General features: G+C 39.6%; 1 protein-coding gene, 1 non-coding gene and 1 pseudogene across 14 annotated transcripts in view, besides 2 other annotated features; 2 read left to right on the plus strand and 1 right to left on the minus strand.

Moving 5' to 3' along the window:
* The window catches only part of FUT8 (fucosyltransferase 8), a 387,280-nt gene that overhangs the window by 103,297 nt on the left and 262,870 nt on the right, over positions 1–21,113 (plus strand). For 4 of the 13 annotated variants that reach the window (XM_047431179.1, XM_047431177.1, XM_047431181.1 and 1 more), the window contains one exon: positions 950–1,013. The exons of 8 other annotated variants lie outside the window; for them this stretch is intronic. The gene's annotated coding sequence lies outside the window, so the exon portion shown is untranslated. Of the gene's footprint in view, positions 1–949; positions 1,014–8,271; positions 19,647–21,113 lie in introns of those variants that run through there. One more of the 13 variants, XM_047431180.1, reaches the window with a different exon arrangement.
* Positions 1,867–1,916: an enhancer, noted in NCBI's record as "active region_8565". NCBI's record gives its function as "activates an Ori minimal core promoter by ATAC-STARR-seq in GM12878 lymphoblastoid cells {active_cell/tissue: GM12878}" and the evidence as "EXISTENCE:reporter gene assay evidence [ECO:0000049][PMID:35858748]".
* Positions 3,641–3,810: an enhancer, noted in NCBI's record as "experimental_35208 CRE fragment used in MPRA reporter constructs". NCBI's record gives its function as "activates a minimal promoter by MPRAs in K562 erythroleukemia cells, with activity observed for the non-introgressed 14:65930582 variant allele {active_cell/tissue: K562}" and the evidence as "EXISTENCE:reporter gene assay evidence [ECO:0000049][PMID:34662402]".
* Positions 7,636–8,246, minus strand: RPL21P8 (ribosomal protein L21 pseudogene 8; annotated as a pseudogene).
* On the plus strand, positions 10,964–11,048 carry MIR625 (microRNA 625). Its single transcript, NR_030355.1, has one exon. It is a non-coding gene; the product is annotated as a microRNA 625 (primary transcript).

Raw genomic sequence — 21,113 nt, forward strand, 5'->3', positions numbered from 1 at the left:
CTTTTTAGTCTTTTAGGACAAAGGAAATAGGTATTGAGAGACATTTCTCTTCAATCCATGGATCTCTTCTGTTTCTGCACATTCGCTGAGCAGAGTACTGATAGCTTTTGTTGGGGGCTATCTTTTTCAAAGAAATCTGTTTAGCAAACAGCCTAGGAAGATAGAAATAGTGCTTCCATTAGGACAGATGGCACATTTCTTTGCTGTCCAGGATAATTAAGATAATCTCTCTAGGGAAAAAGGTTGGGCATATTTGCTTGTAGCTCCTTTTAAAGATTGGAGTTTCATTAAGCTCAGGTTTTCTTGTCCTGTAATGCAACCCACAGTATGTGCACTTGGTTTTCCTTTCATTGGCCTTTAGGAATTAGAGCTTGAGGAATCAGTAAAAAATATGGTACTCTGTCTATGCTATTGTTGTGAGTAGTAAACTGTTCTTTGTTTCTGATCTAGGAGTGTCATAACTTCTGCCAGGATTATCTGATGCTAGCTTACCAGCTACACTACTAACACATCCTATTGATAAAACAAAGCTGAGTTCATTGCTTATTGTGGTAAGGGAGAACACCTAAAAAAATCTTTGGTAGGGTCTTAGAGAGGTCAAAATTTGAGAATTTGAAGTTTGTTTTAAGTTGGATCTTTCAGTGGTGGCGATGAGGCTTGATTAGGATTGGGTAGGTATCATGATAAAACAGTTTAGGTTTGGTGGAAACAGTAAGATTTTGAAAACTGCCGAAGAGTTGATGGGTCTTTCCAGAAGGTCTGTAATGAACAATCACATTATATTTCTGCTGTCTCCTAGAATAGCAGTTATGCTAATTAAGACAGTGGACTGGTAAAGTCATGTTAATGTACCTAGAAAGCTGTGTGTGTGTGTATTAGTTTTCTAGGGCTGCTATAACAAAGCACTGTAAACTGGGTGGCTTAATATAGCAGAAATTTATTCTTTCAGTTTTGGAGGTTAGCAGTCTGAAATCAAGGTGTTGGCAGGGCCACACTCTCTCCGAAGGCTCTAGGTAAGAATCCTTTCCTTCTTCTTTTAGCTTATGGTGGATGCCAGAAATCCTTGGTATTTCTTGACTTTTGGTAGCATAACTCCAATCTCTACCTCAGTATTCACATGACATCTTCCCTCTGTGTGTGTTTGTGTTCAAATGTCCTTCTTATAAGGATTCCAGTCATGTATTAGGGTCCATCCTAATCCAGAATGACATTATATCAACTTGATTATATCTGCATAGACCCTATTTCTAGCCGTTACACATTTTGGGAGGACACTTATTTAACTCAGTATAGGGGACATGTAGTTTCAGTCTTCAGTGCCCAAACTGTATGTAGGTACAGTGTTTGCTCTCAGTGTCCATGAAACTATGGCAGACTGATGTTAGCTTGCATGTAGGGTAAAATCTTAGGTTCTTCAGAGTTCTTGACAACAGCATGGTATAGTAGAAAGAAAACCAGTCTGGAAGTCAGAGTACCTTAGTTCTGCTCTGTTAATAACTAGCTTAAGAAAGTTACTGTCTTCTTTAGCTATTAGTTTGTTACTGATACACCAGGAGTTCAGTCTAGGTCCTGCTGCTTGCTGCATAGAAAGCCAATCACTGAGACAATGAGTATTGCCAAGGAAGAAGGCTTTAATCAGGGGCGGCAGCTGAGAAGATGGGAGCTTGGTCTCAATTCCATCTCCCTGACTGACTAAAACCAGGGTTTATATAGCAGGGAAGACATAGATTTTAACAATGTGTAAGAAAACAGGAACTTGGGAGGAGGGGCGAGGAAGCAATAATGGTGAATGAGGGGTCTGGCATCTGGTAGGGTGATCTGGTTTCAGTTCTTTGATACTTTTTGTGCCAAAAGAACAGTCTGTGGGACTATTGGGTTTGTTTCAATTTCCTCATAGATAAAATTTGAGGCCTGAGGAAGAGAAGAGTAAACCAAATGATCTTTAAGACATTTCTAGTTCTCACATTCTGAAGTTTTATAATGTTGAGTGGCTGCTACATACTGTATTAATATTAGTCTTGTTGGAGTCACAAAAAGGGAATAGAAAATGCTTTAAGTGCTAATCAGATAGGCTCTAACTTGTGAATGTAGCTTGCGTAAATTAATTTGTTTATTTGGGTGAAGCTAATTAATGAAGACATTAGGTAAACATGATGTTTGCCCTGATCTCTCTGACTTACCATTTTGTTTTTCAACTTGAATAGTGTATTTGGAAGAAGAGCATTCTTCAGGTCACTTAAAGTTAGAAAAATGCTGCACTCTCAGGCTGAGTTCATAAAATGAAATAACCTTTCCTGAAGTGAATATGAGAATGTGGTTCCCCTTCCCCCTTCATTGCCCACGTTTGTCTGTCATGTCATTCTTGTGGTCAAGAGATTTTAGAAAAATTCTTACTAGAGAATGGTAATAGTACTGTGAGGTGGAGCATGGTGTTAGAATTCTAGGTGTAAGTGAATCATGTGCTATTGAATTTTCTTTGCGTTTTAAATAGGTCACTGTAGTATCGTATTTGAATTCTTTGTTTGAATCATGTTGAAAGTATGTAATAATTACTGCACAGAGATATTGTGGGCACTGAAAAATTCTTTGGTACTACCAAAACCCCCTGTGGTCATGTATGTGCTTGTTCTTTGAAGTTACAAATGAACAATGACTACATATTGATGATAAGTATAAATACAGGTTGAACCAATGTTTTTAGATCTGGACAAAAGTTACTGAAGTAGGAGAAAGGACGGATTTTTATTAATTCCATATGGAAGAAATTCAAAACCATATACCAGGGGGAGATAGGATTGTCTCACCACTTAACTTAAGGATCTTCCTGTATGTAGCCCTTCCATCACACACAAATTGTACTAAGTGTTTTCATAGTGGATATTTGGGCAATTCAGAGACTCTCACTACATGTTGTAACAATGGTAATGTATTTAATTAATTTTAGAAGATACATTAGAATATAGAATTAGCAGTAACACTCCAGCAATACCTGAAATAAAATGTGTTAAAACAGACAGAATATAGAAATTAAATAGACATAATTACAATAATAAAAAGATATACCTCTATCATATTTCTATTCACATTTCTATTCTAGTCAATTAAAAGAGTAGGAGAATTTTTTATCTTTCTTTATTAATTTTTTTGAGACAGGGCCTCACTCTATTGCCCAGGCTGGAGTGCACTGGCGCAGTCACGGCTCACTGCAGCCTTGACCTCCTTGGCTCAGGTGATTCTCCCACATCAGCCTCCTGAGTTGCTGCGATTGCAGGTGCACACCACCATGCCTGGCTAATTTTTTGCATTTTTTGTAGAGATGGAGTTTTGCCATGTTGCCCAGGCTGATCTTGAACTCCTGTGCTCAAGCAGTTCCCCACCTCAGCCTCCCAAAGTGCTGGGATTACAGGAGTCAGCCACCGTGCCTGGCTAATATATTTTCTTAGTGTTAAAGAAAAGAATGTTAAGGAGTTACTCAGAAAGTAACTTGAACTTTTGGTGTGGGCTGTTTTGATGATTGTTGGGAAGATTTTCTTTTTTTCTTCATTCCTGGGGCCATGGTGGCTGATCATCCAAGCTTGGATTAAACTCTGTTCCTTGTACTTTTCCTTCTCATTTTAGGTTTTGGAGTCAGTATACTTATATTACCAAGAAAATAAGGTTCCTCCAACTTGTAAGAAATATTTTCTAGTTTCAGAGAATTATGAATTGGTAAAGATTGAAAAAGATGGTATGGATGTGTTTGAATTATTCACTTTTATGGTGTATAGTCTTCACTTTCCATGTTGTGTTTTGTTGGACTCAAAGATGCTTGAGAAGTTAGAGAGATTCTCCCTGGCTCCCCCAGCCACCCCTGCAGCCCCACTGGGGAAAAAAGGAAACAAAGGAGGAAAACCGTGTTGAACACATATTTTTTCTTAAGCACCTATACTGGATTAATGTATTACTGTGAAAGTTGTTTAATTGGAGTTTTTTTAAAATAGATTTTTATTTCTTAGGGCAGTTTTAGGTTTACAGAGAAATTGTAATTTCTTACAGAGAGTTCCCAAATATCTCCCCCTTTTATCTTACAATCTGTAGTAATTGCTTATTATTTCCAGGAGTTTGTTGGTCAGTACTTTGGGTTTTTTTTTTTTTTTTTTTTACATAGATGATCATGTCATCTGCAAATAGAGAGTTTTATTTCTTTCTTCTCAATTTGTGTACCTTTTATGTCCTTTTCTTGTTTTACTGCATTAGCTAGGATGTCCAGTATGATGTTGAATAGGAGTGGTAAGAAGGGAAGTCCTTGCCTTGTTCCTGATCCTACGGGGAAAGGATCTGGTTTCTTACCATTAGGTATGGTGTTTGCTGTAAGTTTTTTGTAAATTTTATTTATCAAGTGGAGGAAATCCTCCTCTATTTCTAGTTTGCTGAGAACATGTAATTATTAACTGATGTAGAATTTTATCAAATACTTTTATTGCATCTATTGATATGATCTGATTGTATGATTTTTTTTTTCTGTTTCCTGGATTACATTAATTGACTTTTAGATGTTGAACCTACCTTGCATACTTGGAATATACTCTACTTGGTCGTGGTGTATAATGTGATTTGCTGAGATTTTTGAGAACATTTGCCTCTGTGTTCATGAAAGATATTGTTCTGTAATTTTCCTTTCTTGTAAGGCTGTTGCCTGGGCTTATGATCGGGGTAATGTTGGCCTCTGAGAATGAGTTAGAAGTGCTCACTCTGCTTCTACAGATTGTAGAATATTGGTATCATCTGTTCCTTAAATATTTGATAGAATTCACGAATGAATTATCTTGAGTGTGGTGCTTTCTGTTTTGGAAGATTATTAATTATTTATTCAGGTTTTAAAAATTGATTTAGGCTTATTCAGATTATTTGTTTCTTCTTGTGTGAATTTTGGTAGATTGTGTCTTTTAAGGGATTGGTCCATTTCACCTAAGTTATCAAATTTAAGGGCATAGAACCAGCTTTGAGTCTTGTTGATTTTCTTTGTTTTCCTGTTTTCAATTTTGCTCTGATTTTTGTTGTTTTCTTCTGCTTCCTTTGGATTTAATTTGTTCATTTTCTGGTTTCCTAAATTAAAAGCTTAGATGATTAATTTTACCTTTCTTCTTTTTTAACATATACATTCAATGCTAAAAATTAATCTCTTAGTCCTGCTTTGCTGCATCCCACATTTATTTACTTACTTACTTACTTATTTATGAAATGGGGTCTCATTATGTTGCCCAGGCTGGTCTAGAGCTCCTAGCCTCAAGTGATCCTCCTGCCTTAGCCTCCCAAAGTGCTGGGATTACATGTATGAGCCACTGTGCCCGGCCATAAATTTTGGTGTTTTATTTTCATGTACACTTAGTTTAAAATATTTTATAATTTCTCAAGACTATTTTTTTGATCTACGAGTTATTTGTAAGTGAGCTGTTTAAACATCTCCAAATATTTTGAGATTTTCCAGCTATGTTTTTGTTTAACTAGTTTAATTCCATTGTGGTGTGTCTATTTGTATGGTGTCTATTCTTTAAAATTTGTTAAGGTATATTTTGTAGTCTCTCTTTGTGAAATGTTCCCTGTGGATTTGAGAAGAGTGTGTATACTGCTGTTGCTGGATGAAGTGTTCTATAAATGTCAGTTAGATCTAGTTGATTGATGGTGTCATCAGTTCTATGATACCTTCCTGATTTTCTGCTTCTGTCAATTACCGATAGAGGGTTGTTGAAGCTCCAACTATGATATTGAATTCATGTGTTTCTCCTTGTAGTTCTATCAGTTTTTATTATACCTTATGTATTTTGACACTCTGTAGTTAGGTACATACATATAAAGATGATTATGTCTTCTTGGTGAATAATAACAGATTGACCATCTGTTATTAGGTAATGCCCCTCTATCACTGATAATTTTTCTTGGCCTTAAGCTTGCTCTTTCTGAAATTTTTATAGCCATTCCAGGTTTCTTTTGATTAGGTTTAGCATAGCCTATCTTTCTCCATCCCTTTACTTTTAATCTGTCTTCATCTTTATATTTAGAGTGGGATTTTTGTAGACATCATATAGTAGGGTCTTGTCGTTTGATTTGCTCTCGACAGCATGTGTCTTTTAACTGGTGTATTTAGACCACAGATGTTTAAAGTAATTATTGATATAGTTGGATTAATGTCTACTGTATTTATAACTGTTTTCTACTCATTGTCCTTGTTCTTTCTTTTTTCGTCTTTCACTTTGTCTCTGCCTTCTTCATTGTAATTCAGCATTTTATATAATTCCATTTTGTCTCCTGTTTTAAAATATAAATTATACTTAATTTAAAATTATCTTTTAGGCTGAGGATGGTTGCTCATGCCTGTAATCCCAGCACTTTGGGAGGCCAAGGCGGGTGGATCACCTGAGGTCAGGAGTTCGAGACTAGCCTGGCCAACATGGTGAAACCCTGTCTCTACTAAAAATACAAAAGTTAGCCAGGTGTGCTGGCGCACGCCTGTAATCCCAGCTACTCAGGGGGCTGAGGCAGGAGAATTTCTTGAACCCAGGAGGTGGAGGTTGCAGTGAGCCAAGATCGCACTACTGCACCCTAGTCTGGGCGACAGAGCAAGACTGTCTCAAAAAAAAAAAGAATAAAATGAAATTATTTTTTAGTTGTTGCCCCACAGTTTGCAATAATTACACAGTTAAACTGATCCAAGTTCACTTTTTAAATAACACTTTACCACTTCATGGGTAGTGCAAATACCTTACAACTTAGTATTGTCAGTTCCTTTTTCCCATTCCTTATAACATTACTTTTATTTGTTTTACTTTTCCATAATTTACAGTCACTAAATATATTGTTGCTATTATTATTTTGAACAAGTTGTTATCTGTTAGATGAATTAAGGATCAGAAAAACAAAAGATTTAGTTTTACCTTTATTTTTTTCCTCTACACTCTTCCTTTCTTTTTGTAATCCATATTTCTGATCTATATAATTTTCCTTCTTTCTGAATAACTTCTGTTAACATTTCTTGCAAGTCATGTTTATTGGGTTTCATTTCTCCCAGTTTTTATTTCAGAAAGTCTTTATTTCTTCACTTTTGGAGGATACTTTTGCTGGGATTCTATAGGCATTCTAGTTTGGTATTTTATTTTATTTTTTTTAACAGCCCAGAGGTCTTATTTTATTTTATTTTTTTGAGATGGAGTCTCATTCTGTTACTCAGGCTGGAGTGCAGTGGCACGATCTTGGCTCACTGCAACCACTGCCTCCCGGGTTCAAGCGATTCTCCTGCCTCAGCCTCCTAAGTAGCTGGGACTACAGGTGCGCACCACCACACCTGGCTAATTTTTTGTATTTCTTTTCTTTTTTATTTTTGAGACAGAGTCTCACACTGTCGCCCGGGCTGGAGTGCAGTGGTGTGATCTTGGCTCACTGCAACCTCCACCTCCTGGGTTCAAGCGATCCTCCTGCCTCAGCCTCCTGAGTAGCTGGAATTAGAGGCGCCCATCACCACGCCCAGCTAATTTTTTGTATTTTTAGTAGAGAGGGTTTCACTATGTTGGCCAGGCTGGTCTCGAACTCCTGACCTCATGGTCTGCCCGCCTCAGCCTCCCAAAGTGCTGGGATTACAGGTGTGAGCCACCGTGCCCAGCCAGTCTAGAGGTCTTTTATTTTTTTTAACACCTGTTATGCTATGAATTCACAGGGAATAGGTTCCAGCAGCTCAGGCTCCTTCCCACTGGTTCTCACAAAGTGTGCTTCTCTGGATGGAGCAGGCTGGTGCTTCAGTAGAACCCGGGTACCTTTCTCTTTGGCTTCTTTCTTTTTCCGATCATTTTCCTTTACGTGTTTCAGGAAGCTATTTTGGCTCTTAGAGTGCTGAATGTGCTCAATACGCACATTAATTCTCTTGGCAAGAATCTTGCCCTTAACTTGTTTGTTGACAAGTTGTTTACAATACCAACAGCATGCTGAGTAACGTGTTTGTTTACAACTTGCTTACAGTGCCAACAGCATGTTGGGTAACACTGCAGACTCTTCCAGTTTTGCCATGATAACACTCGCGGAGCATTCCTTTTTGAATAGTACCCATTCCCTTGATGTCTACAATATCACCTTTCTTATAGATTCGCATACATGTGGCCAAAGGAACAACTCCATGTTTACTAAAAGGCCTAGAGAACATATATCGGGTGCCTCTCTTCTTTCCCTTTGTGTTCGTCCTTTTGGCGAATTACTGGAAGATGGTGGTTCCGGCCGAAAGGTTGGATTTTTTTTTTTTTTTTTTTAACACTAAATATTTCACTTCACTCTTTTTGCTTGCATGGTTTCTGAAGAGAAAGTTTGATCTAATTCTTTATTTCTCTGTGGATAAGATGTTTTCTGTGTGTGTTGATTTTTTTCTTTACCTCTTGCTTCTTTCGAGATATCTTATTGGTCTTAAAGTTAATAAGGAAAAAACTAAAGTTTTGCTTTTGATTTAGTTTTCTCTTTGTCTTATTTTCTGCAGCTTCACTATCATTTGCCTATGTAAATATTTTGGTATTTATCTTGCTTGGTGTTCTCTGAACTTCCAGGTTTGGTGTTTCTTACTAAAGACATTCTTTCCTGTTACAGTGTTATTGATTTGTACACTCCCCTTCCTCGCCTCCCCTCTTCACTGTTTTTTCCTTCTCTTTACTCTTCCTTTCTTTCCACAGGATCTCACTCTGTCACCCTGGCTGGAGTGCAGTAGTGGCGTGATCATAACTCGCTGCAGTCTTGAACTCCTAGGCTCAAGTGATTCTCCCTCCTCAGCTTCTCAAGTAGCCAGGACTACAGGTGTGTGCCACCATGCCTGGCGATTAAAAAAAAAATCGTAGAAACAGGGTCTCCAATGTTGCCCAGGCCGGTCTTAGAAAAAAGGACTTAGCTGGGCATGGTGGTGGCATGCACCTGTAGTCCTACCTGCTTGGGAAGCTGTGGCAGGAAGATTGTTTGTGCCTAGGAGTTCAAGGCTACAGTGCGCTGTGAATCACCACTGTACTCCAGACTGGGTAACAGTGAGACCCTGTCTCAAAACATATATATAAAAAAAAATTCCTGGTGATAATTTGATAATTCCTGGTAAAAATTTCTGCCACATCCGAGTCTGTTTCCGAGGCTTGCTTTGTTTCTTCAGATTGTATTTTTTGCCTTTATAGTGCCTCATAATTTTTTTTCATAGCCAGACAGAATGTATCAGGTAAAAGGAACTGAGGTAAATAGGCCTTTAGTGTGAGGTTTTATGTTTATCTGTTTAGAAGTCAGGCTGTGTTTAGTGTTTGTTCTGGCTGTGGTATCGGAGGCAAATGTTACGGGATCTTTAAGGTGTTGCTTTTCTGTCTAGAAACCTCTGTGGCCAGTGGCGCCTTTGCCCGAGTTCTTGTCCTGTGTCCAGGAAGAATTATGTATGCAGACAAGTGGAGGGTGAGCAAGACAAAGAGAAGCTTTACTGAGTGTTAGAACAGCTCAGAGGAGAGCTGCAGAGGGCAGCCCCTCTCTATAGGCAGGTTGTCTCATCCAGTGTTCAGCTCTCAGCAGAGAGGAGGCCCTGGAGTGAGTGGCTCCTCTCTGCAGGCAGGTCCCCATTGACTTCCCAGCTCTCAGCAGAGACGATAGCTCCTCTCTGCAGCTAGTCATCTGGCTGTCTCTCTGGCCTCTGCCCTGCTCTGGCTGATCTCGGGGCTTTTATGGACCTCAGTGGGGAGGAAGTGTGTCAATTGGTACATCGGTGGCCATGGGTGGGCTGGAAAAGGCACCACAAGCCCCCACTGCAGTCTGCGGGACTGGCAGCCCGGTCCCCAACGTTCAGGCCCTCCCTGGCCTGAAGGTGGGGTCTATCTGGGGACGTGCCCCCTTCCACCCAGGAGCCTGTCTGCTTCCTGCCACTTTCCATGGCTCCCAGGCTGCTTGTGCCAAGGGGCACCTGCCTGCCAGCATGGAGCAGCTCTCCACCTCAGCTTCCTCAGAGGGGGCCTAGGCGGCAGGGCCTGAGCATGCGCATATCCTGTTGGGCTGTGATGATATCCAGGCTTGGCTCCAACCCCACTCTGAGAACCTGCCACATTGGAGCCGGTGCGGGAAGTGGCAGCGGGAACAGGCATTTCCGAGCCTGCAAAGGCAAGGGGGGCCTTCCTGAGCCCCCAAGAGCACACGGAGGCCTGGGTCCACAACCCTGACTTGGGTAGCTGCAGCTGTATGGGGTTGGGGGACAGGGCTCCTGCCTGTTTCCAGTCCCCAAGAGCACATGGAGGCCTGGGTCTACCACCCAGGCTTGGGTGGCTTGGGCTGCTGCCTGCTCCTGGCTCCCACTGGCACTGTGGAGCATGCAGCCCTGGCTCCGCCCCCTTTCAGCCTGAGACAGGGGCTCCAGATCCTTGCTGGACCTGGGCTGGGATCCGGGGCAGGGGTGACATCGCCGGGAGCTACCCCAGTTGCCCTGGCGCTTCAGTGGCCCAGGCAGAGCAGATAACTGTCCGGCCTGGCTGTTGGGAGTGGCAGGCTCAGCAGTCGCCTGATGTGGGGTGGACCCTGGGGATGTAGCCCCGGGCAGCCCTGCACAGAGCCTCCTCCTGAGGCCCAGGAACCTGGCACCCTCAGTGGGGTGGGCGCAGTGGCTGTGTCACTGGCTGGTCCCTGAAGTGGGCACCGCTCCCACTTCCTGCCTCAGGCCCCTGAAGCTCAGCCTCAGCTCTGCATCGGTCTGCTCTCTGCTTGACTGTGCTGCACAGAGGGCGGCGGGCTGTTGAGGGAGGGGGTCTGTCCGCCTCTCCCTGTGCCGTCCATGTACCAGAAAGCCACCGCCATCACTATTAGAGGCTAAAATTTCTTCTACTGTCCTTGCTTTTATCTGCCCTGTTGTCTTTGGGTTTTTGTAAAGAATCCTTAAATGGGGTCTGAGGCTTGCAGGTTTTTAAGTTGTAATCCTGTGTTGTACAAGAGCTGTACTGATGTGGTGGTAAGGGTAGAGGGATGAGGGGGAAAGTTCTATAGTCCTGTAATTAGATCTCAGGACTATAGAACTTTCCCCCTCATCCCTCTGCCCTCTACCAACTGTGAGCCTGAGTTGAGTAACTGTCTCTTTTTCTCGGTCAAAGGATAGATGGGGCTGGAGTTGGGTATTTCCCTTCCCTCCGGTTGGTTAGGCACTGTAAAACCGTAGTAGGTTAGGCAATCTAAAAGCCAGTTGGTTAGGTTCTGGTAAAATAGTTTCCTTTTCTGGAATACCTTTTAAGAGAAATAAAGTTCCTGGCGTATTTCAAAATGGTTTTTCTTCTTCCCCTGCTGCAAGCAGGAGGGGTTTTTTTTCAGATCTTTACCATGAGAACCTGGTAGGGCTCCTGGAGGTAAAACTCAGGAAAGTATGGGGACCCCTGTAAGACTGGTCCCCTTACAGTTTTTAACTCTCAAGCTAGTCCACAATTACTGTTTCAAGTGTTCCTACTGATGCTGGCTTCAGTTGAGAGCTTGTATTCCTGGACTTCTGCTTCCTGCACACTGTGATTCTCTATCTGCCTGTCTTGTCTCTCCAGGTTTTAGAGCAGCAGTTTGCCCTCTGACCTCAATTCTCTGATGGCTCTAAGAAGAGTTGGATTATCAGTTTTTTTTTTTTTACCCCCAGCTTTTTTTCTTGTCGTGAGGTTGGGAGTGATGAATTACAAGCTCTTTACAACTGTACTTAAGGTTATTTTTTGACCATTTTTGATGCTTTTGTAACTAGTCAAAAGACTTATTACAGTATCCTTTATCTCATTTGGCAGTATTGTTCATTAAGAATTTTATCTCTTTCTGACATCAGGTCTGCACATTTTGGGGATAATATATTCTAATTTGCAAGAAAGATTAAAAAACTTCTCCAGAGGGAAGTTGATCATAGGACTGATTCTTATTATTGATGAATTGACTGCCTTGTCTTGTTTTGTGTTGCTATGTAGGAATACCTGAGGCTAGGTAATTTATAAAGAGTTTGATTTACCGCACAGTTCTGCAGGCTGTACAAGAAGTATGGCACCAGGATCGGCTTGTAGTGAGGGCCTTAGGCTACTTCCACTGATAGCAGAAGGCAAAGAGGTGCCAGCTTGTGCACAAAATGAGAGAGGAGAAAAGGGTGGGAGGAGGGGCCCTGGCTCTTTTTAACAACCAGCTCTTGGGGGAACAAATAGAGTGAGACCTCAAGCATGCCTGAGGAAGAGCATTAATTTATTCTTGAGGGTTCTGACCCCTCCCCACCATGCCCAACAACATCTCCCATTAGGCCCCACCCCCAACATTGAGATCAAATTTCAACAGGAGGGACAATCATCTAAGTGATAGCATAGACTCAGGCTATTTACTATTCTGTTTTCAAGTATAGATTGAGGGCAACAGCAGCCTTTGTTTTCTATGTTGATGGCCAAAGGTTTATTTTTATATTCTTATACTGTAAAAAAAAAAACAACTTTATTTTTATAGCCTTTTTGGGTGTAGGGTCATGTCAGGCTTTACTAATTGCACTTCTGATAAGTATACTGATGATGCTGAGGATGGTTATTAAAGCCCTATGCTGATACTTTGGATTTATGGAACCAATTAATTTGATGACTCATTTACATTGAATTTCTTAATTAGTAGATTGCCCACTAATTATTTTTATGAGCACAGAATAAGGTAATGTTTATTCTTATTTTTTTTGTGATATGGTAAAAAACTTAGTTCATATAATGAATTTAGTGCTCAAATATCTTAGTAGAAATTGAAGTAGAAAAAGACATTGTTGTAAATTAAATGTAAGATATAATTTTATTTTCTTTAGAAAACTTTACATTGAAAAGATCACATTATAGATAATTTAGACAACTTATTTATAACTTTTATTTATTATTATTATTGAATGTAAAAGAATTACATGCAGTCCCATGATCTTAACATAACTGTGGTTACCATGTTGGTATATGTGCCTTTTAGTCCTTTTTCATACACAATTTTTTTTACAAAGTTATAATAATAATTTCTTTTCAAATTTGTGCCTTATTTCAGTTAACAGTGTAAATGTTTCCCATTTCTAACAATGTTTTCTCATTGAGTGAGGTACTGTTAGGTTGGTCAGACTGATAGTTTATTGTACGTATTGCTGTAATATCTTTGTACATTTAGCTTTTCCATGTTTGTACCATATCTTTGGGTTTTCAGAAGTCTGTCTCTCTCTCTGTTTCTCTTTTTGTCTGTCTTTTCTATCTCTCACCTTCATTTGGGGAGCATTTTGTGTTCTCTTTCACAGGACTAATTAAGTTTTATTGGATCTTGAAAAACGGGATTAGAAATTTTTTCTTACTTATATAATTAGAAAACAATGCTTTTGGACTTACATTGCCACGGCAGTTTACACAGTTTTATTCCCAAAAATTGTAGTTTTGTGACTAGGTGATAAAAATGATCTCCTATATGTGCCAAACTTGGTATTCTAGACACTCATACTTAGGATGTAAATTGACTGTAGTCCAATAATTTAATATGTTGTGTTTAATTCTTGTAATATTTTACTCACAAATTGAACTTTTCCTTACCAATTTAATGTTTGTAGGCTTAATTTGGCATCTTTGTCAGGATTATTAGACTTCTCTGCATTCTTCTGACTTCTCCCTAAACTAATGTTTAGAACTGAATTGGGTCCAGCAATTTAAGTGGAAAATCAGTATGACTAGAGACTTCTAGAAACTTCTGGTGTCACTGAGATGGTGAATTTGATGATTCTGACCCTACTTGCTCATCTGTAAAAGCTATTAGAGGATTGTTTTAAGCATTTCTATTCTATACAGGTATATGTACACCATGTAATACCACTCAGCCATAAAGAAGAATGAAATAACATTTTTGCAGCAATTTGGGTGGAGCTGTAGGCCATTATTCTAAGTGAAGTAACTCAGGAATACAAAACTGAATACCATATGTTCTCACAAGCGGGAGCTAAGTCATGGGTACGCAAAGGCATACAGAATAGTAAAATAGACTTTGGAGACTGAGACGCGGGGAGAATAGGAAGAAGATAAGGGATAAAAAACGATATATTGGGTACAATGTATGCTACTTTGGTGATGGGTGTAGTAAAATCTCAGACTTCACCACTATACATTTCATCCATGTAACCCAAAACCACTTGTACTCCAAAAGCTATTGAAATAAAAAAGATATTTAAAAAAAAAGAGGCCAGGCAGGTTGGTTCACGCCTGTAATCCCAGCACTTTGGGAGGCTGAGGCGGGCGGATCACTTGAGGTCAGGAGTTCGGGACCAGCCTGACCAACATGGTGAAAACCTGTCTCTACTGAAAAAAAAAAAAAAAAGCCAGGCGTGCTGGCTCCCACCTGTAATCCCAGCTACTCATGGGGCTGGGCGAATCGCTTGAACCTGGGAGGCAGAGGTTGCAGTGAGCCGAGATTGTGCCACTGCACTCTAAGAGCAAAACTCTGTCTCAAAAATAAATAAATAAATAAAAAATTAAAAAAGATCTTCTGTTGTACCTAATCTTCTAGCCTTATTATTTCTTAGAGATTTTATAAATCCATGTGGCTTTTTTACTCTTGTCATCTTCAAGTTATTTGCCAAGATTGAAAAATAACCATCTTTCTCCTAATACCTTGGTGAGCCTGAGAGAAGAAAATACTACACAGTTCATTTTATTGTAAAAGTAGTGAAATTTCTCAACTGATATTCATCCTTCATTTTTGTGGATTTGTTCAGGGAAGATAAGATTTATTGTTTATTTTTATTTTGCTGTATTGCCAGGCTGGTCTGGAACTTCTGAGCTCAAGCAGTCCTCCTGCCTCGGCCTTCCAAAGTGTTGGGATTATAGGTGTGAGCCACCGCACCTGGCTGGAAGACAGGATTTTTTTGGGAAAGTAAATATCACTTGAGAATATCTACTAGTATGGAATCTAAAGTTATGCATACAAGGATGATCTCATATTTCTTTGTATCTTGTTCCCAGTCTTTCCCCCAATCTTGTCTCGCTTTTTCCTCAACAAGCGTAGTTAACAACTACTATGAATTTGGAATACAAAATGATAACGACCCTGCCTTTAGGAAACTGACAATTTAGAAGGTCAACTAGAAATATAAGTTAATAATTACAGTACAGGAAGTCCCCTGATTTCCTCTATAATAACATGTCTCCCAAAATGTGATTGAAAATAAAAATTCCACATGTCATAGGCGTAGGAGGTATTTGGGTGTTTGTATGGAGAGTCATTTCACAGAGCTAAAATTTATTATTATAAAATACTCAATTCTAGTTCCTGGGCATGTTATCTCCTTTGGAATTAGAAATCTTAGTTGCTGCATAACATTAAAAGTGTCAGGATGATGCCTGTAATCCCAGCACTTTTGAAGGTAGAGGCAGAGCATTGCTTGAGGCCAGGATTTTGAGACCAGCCTGGGCAACATAGTGAGACCCTGTCTCTACCAAAAAATTTAAAAAAATTAGCCAAGCATGGTGGTGTGTGCATGTAGTCCTAGGTACTTAGGAGGCTGAGGCAGAGGATCGCTTGAGCTCAGGTATTTGAGGCTGCAGTGAGGCTGCAGTGAGGCTGAGCTCTACCATATAGAGCTCAGGCTCTATATGGTAGAGCCACTGCAATCCAGCCTCCGCAACAGAGTGAGACCTTGTCTTGGGGGGCAAAAAGTGTAAGGATGGGATTTCTAGGCATATTTGGGGCTGAGGAAATCAGTCTTGGGCCCAACCTCCTTGTAGGGGGTGAGGTGGCAACCTCTGGAATTTGAGGCCTGCTACTGGGATTGTAGGTATAGGAAGTTGAGAGGGAAAGGGTCTTTCTCACCCTGCTGTGGTAGTAAGAGCTTGGTGCTTAATGGGTGCCTTTTAGTTGTTTGATCACCTAGGATTTCTGCTTAGAACCCAGCAATACTTGTAGGCCTGCACAGTCCCAAGAGAGAAATCAGAGACTTGGTGATAAGTCAAGGGTAAGAGATGAGATAAGAGAGCACCTACACTATAGGATATTAGAACTACAACTCCAATTACTCCTTCACTCTCATCTTTTTCCCTCTCCCAGCTGCCAAGTATATGTGACTAGTGGTTTGTCCAGAGCAGGACTGGAGGATGGGGTAGGAAGAATTATTATTTTTTCATCATAGATCAGGATAGTGTCATGTCCCCCTAAACTTCAGGGAGGCCTGGCTTCATACCTCTTCTTCCAATTTCCTAGCATTGTGCAATGACAAAGCTTCATGCAGTAACTCAAAATCATTGTTAATAAGGTGATATCTAAAAGATTGAATTTGATGTTCTGAAGTTAGTGTGAGGATGTCAGTCTGTTAATGTGTGAAATGTTTTGAGCTGTGTGAAACTCAATTTTGCTTAGTGTGTTAAGTACAACTGAAGTAGGTGTAAAAGTCAGTAGTAGCACACAGAAAGGAGTAATGAATTGTGTCTAGAGGGTCAGGAAAGGTCTCACAAAGGAGAGGATCCTTGAATTCTTTGTTCAAGTGGTAGAGTTAAAGAAGTAGATTTTTTTTTTTTTTTTTTTTTTTTTTTTTTTTTTGGCGACAGGGTTTTGCTGTAGGTCTCCCAGGCTGGAGTACAGTGGCGCTATCATAGCTCACTGCAATCTCTAAACTTCTGGGCTCAAGCATAGAAATAGATCTGATAGTGGAAGTCTCTGCCCAGTAATACTGAGATCTTGGAACCTTACTCATTTCAGAAATGGCTCTGGTCTGAATACATTATATGGGACTAAGCTCTTCTAAATATCTTTATCCCTTAATTCTTTATGCATAAACTTCAGCAACTTCTAAGCTACCATTAGGAAATTTTCACTGTAAATTATATACTGGATGATTGAATTTTTAGAATTAGATTTATTCCAAATGTAAGTCAACCTAAATGTAAAGTTTTTCTCTACTTAAATATAAGCTTTTTTGGCACTCTTGAAGATTCTGAGTATTTCTGTGGACAGTTATGGCCATCAGGGTGTTTGTTTGAATTCTGGAATTGCCCTAGAGAGCACATAAGCTGTGGAGTAAAGCAGGTGTGTGGTCTGACTCCTGACTTGGTCACTTAAGATCTGTGCAACCTTGAATAGTAACTTCGATGCTAATTTTCCACATCTGTAAAATATGGATAAAAAATGCAGAGTCTTTAGCACAGTTCCTGGCATGAAGTAATGGCTCAATAAATGTTAATTATTACTATTGTTAACTAAATAAGAGTTCCCTAGGTCTCTGACTTCAAACATATAGTTGTTGGAGACTATGAATACCTTGGGGCCACCTTGAGCTAAGACTAGATGCTCAGGAGCACCTTTTTGATTAGTCATTTATTCATTGAGCATATATTTTTGCATTGTTTAAACTTTAGCAAAATACCTAAGTCAGTCAATTCTATTTTTATACAGATATTTCTATATAGAGGAGATTTCCTATAGGATGACCTGTTCTGGGTGTGTCTATCTGACCTGCAGCTAATCAAGTGACTACAGCTTTGCTAATTTTTTTTTTGAAAAACCCTAATATTGTTAAACAGTAGTACAGAGGAAATAAGCTGTTGGTCAGCTTCTAAATTCTGGCACGGGTTAGATTTGCCTAAGAGCAAATCATATAGCAAGAGTTGATGAGAGAACTTTTCTCATATCTTCTAGCCTGGGTAAGTTTGTCTCATTTGGTGTCAAGTCAGAGGAATCTGAACTATAGAACCAAATTGTAGGGAAAGATGACTAAGGGTTTGTGATGTCTTTTTTTTTTTTTACCCCCCTCAAAGGAGTTCTAGGTGTAAAAAGCATCATGGTTTAAACGTTACGAGGCATCAGTGAAGGCAGCAGAAAAGTCAGAAACTAATATAGCCAAGTCTAGATTGTATCTGTTATAAACTCTTTAATCAGAAGATTCTAGCTTCTAGAACCAGGTCTGTAAAATGTTGAGAGCCCTCTAAGTAAACTCCATTATAGTCATTTAATTGATTTTTCTTTGTCTTTCTTCTTGGACATACTCTTCTTTAAAGAGAGCGTTCCCCCCTCTACCCCAGATAGTATCTATCTTTGAGGTTTTGAGAACAATAGTATTCTTGTTCTTTAGGTTCTGAGTTGCTGACTTGAGGGAATTTGATACACAGGAGTCCCCAAGGCCCCCCAGTGGATACCTGAAACCATGGATAGTACTGAACCCTATATATACAGGTCAGGCATCCCAAATCTGAAATCCAAAACGTTCCAAAATCTGAAACCGACGTGACACTCTGAAGAAATGCTCACTGGAGCATTTTGGATTTGTGGATTTGAGATGCTCAACTGGTAAGTATAACACAAATATCCCCAATAGGAAAAACTCCCTATTCCCATTAGTTTTTACTTGATATTCTGAATTCTTAAGTGTGATTTTTTTTTCTAATTTGGGGATAGCTCCTATTTTTGTGAGAGAAATTAATGGGAAATTTTGAGATGGTAACTAGAAATTGTCTTTGCAGTGTTAAATTTTTAGTTGGGAGGCTACTAGGCTGGGTGGCTCTAGCTGTTTAAGTTCCTGTCTAAGCAAACCAAAGCCCAACTTAGAAAGTAAAAGGAAACTAGATATTTTGCCAACTAGAAACCACCTAAGTAATCTCTAACTAGTGTCTTTCCACTCTGACCAATGAGATATGTTTTCTTTGTCTTCCGTGTTCAGCCTATAAAGCTTACAGCCCACACTGCTGTGAATGAAGCTCTTCAAACCTTTTATGGTTCAGAGTGCTGCCTAATTGATGAATCATTCTTTGCACAGATAAACTCTTTTGTCTGTTTTTGCTTTAAACAACAAAGGAACATAAATTCTGTTAATTGATTGTATGAATATAACAGTGAAAATTCCCTGTTAGGCTTTGGTTATCAGTATTTTAGGAATACTTTTTAAAACATCCCCTTTAGCTTTTAATGTGTTTTGGTTAGACAAGATGATGTATGTGTCAGTATAATGCCAGGCTCACAAAAGTTGCTAACTAAATGTTAGTTCCTTCAATACATACATTCATTCCCTGGGACATGGTTCCAAAAGTAGATTATCATAAGAATTCTGTGAGAAGCTTTGAAAAAACTACAGATGTCTATGGCATATATTAATACATGGCGTCTATATCCATACATGTATGTAAATGTATGCAAACAATTTAATCTACTTTTTCCTTAACATTAACTCCTTCAGATAGAATGGTTGGCCCAAATGATTTAATTATTTTTTAGGTTGTTGATTCATAGAAACAAATCCCCTGCAGAAAGGTTGTACCAATTTACACGGTTACCTTTCTTCACATTTTCTCTAACACTGGGTATTCTTGAGCTTTTAGTATTTCTCAGTTGGTGGAAAGGATCTCTTAGTTTGTTGGGATCTCTTTGATTATGAGTGAGATTCAGCATTTTCCATAATTTACTGATGTCTGCATTTCTTCCTCCCTCCTTCCCTTTCTTCTTTCCTTTCTCCTTCTCCTACTTCCACTTTCTCCCGTCCTGTCCTCCCTTTCCCCTGCTCTCCCTCTTTCTTCCCCTTCTATCCCCCTCCCCTCCTGTTTTTCCTTCTTTGCTTGTTTTTGATCTCTGTTCTTCCACATATGAAGATTCTATTTTGACCAGCAATAAGTTGAATTATGGGGCTAGAAGATAAGGACTAAAAACAAGAATTGGTGTCCAGAAAGGTGGGGTAATTTTGATTACTATGCCTGTTGCAAACATGAGCAAGATGTTAAATGTATCATAGATCTGCAAGGTTTTTTTAATTCATATTTTTTATCTATTGTCTCATTAATGTTATCTTTGAGAAATGGTTCTTTTCAGTTTGAGAATGGGGGAATTGGATTTAAAATTTTCTTACATGAAGAAACCAAATATTTTGCTGCTATCCTTTGGAAACTTCTTACTATGATTGGTTCTGGGTGGCATTGGAATCAGTTTGAAATGATGCCATTAATGACCACATGTTTGGATTTCTTGACTATGGGTAAATGTGATTAGAACAGAAATCCCTTAATAATAGGGATTCTTTATCTTTGTGTCCCTAGTGCCTCATAGTATCTGGCCCTAATTAGGAGCTTTAGAAGTGCTTATTGACTGATTGCTTTTTTATCTGAATCGGCCCTTTCTATCCCATCATTATGATAACATCCATCTTGGTAGTAGTAAAACTGTTGCAAACTGCAGAAATGAACTGTGATTTTTTTTTTTTTTTTTTTTTTTTTTAAAGACAGGGTCTCACTCTGTCACCCAGGCTGGAGTGCAGTGGCATGAACATCTTAATAGCTCACTGCAGCCTCAACCTCCCCAGGCTTAGGTGATCCTCCCACCTCAGCCACCAGAGTAGCTGGAACTACAGGTACACTCCATCATGCCCAGCTAATTTTTGTATTTTTTGTAGAGACAGGTTTCATCATGTTGCCCAGGCTGGTTTCAATCTCCTGGGCTCAAGGGATCTGCCTACCTTGGCCTCCCAAAGTATTGGGATTACAGGTGTCAGCCACGGTGCCTGGCACAAATAACTTTTTCAGACACCACTTTTGATTCTTCTGGGTATGTATCCAGAAGTGGAATCACTGGTATCATACTGTAATTCTATTTTTTTTTTTTAAATGGAGTCTCACTCACTCAGGCTGGAGCGTAGTGGTACTATCTCGGCTCACTGCAACCACTGCCTTCTGGGTTCAAATGATTCTCCTACCTCAGCCTTCCAAGTAGCTGGGACTACAGGCGTGTACCACCACACTGGCTAATTTTTTTTTGTATTTTTAGTAGAGATGGGGTTTCACCATGTTGGCTAGGCTGGTCTCGAACTGCTAACCTCAAGTGATCTGCCTGCCTTGGCCTCCCAAAGTGCTAGAATTATAGGCATGACCATCGTTTTCAGCCTCTTTAATTCTTTTTTCAATTTTTTGAGGAGACATCATACTGTTTTCCACAGTGGCTACACCATTTTACATTTCCATCAGCACTGCACAGGGTTCTAATTTCAGCACATTCTTACCAACACTTATTTTCTGCTGGTTTTTTTTTATAATCATCATCATCTTAATGGGTGTGAAGTGGTATCTCATTGTGGTTTTGATTTGCATTTTTGAAATGATAAGTGATGTTGAGCATCTTTTCTTATGCTTACTGTTCATTTGCATATT

Source organism: Homo sapiens, chromosome 14, assembly GCF_000001405.40.
Source record: "Homo sapiens chromosome 14, GRCh38.p14 Primary Assembly".
In the NCBI taxonomy this organism is placed as follows: Eukaryota; Metazoa; Chordata; class Mammalia; order Primates; family Hominidae; genus Homo; species Homo sapiens.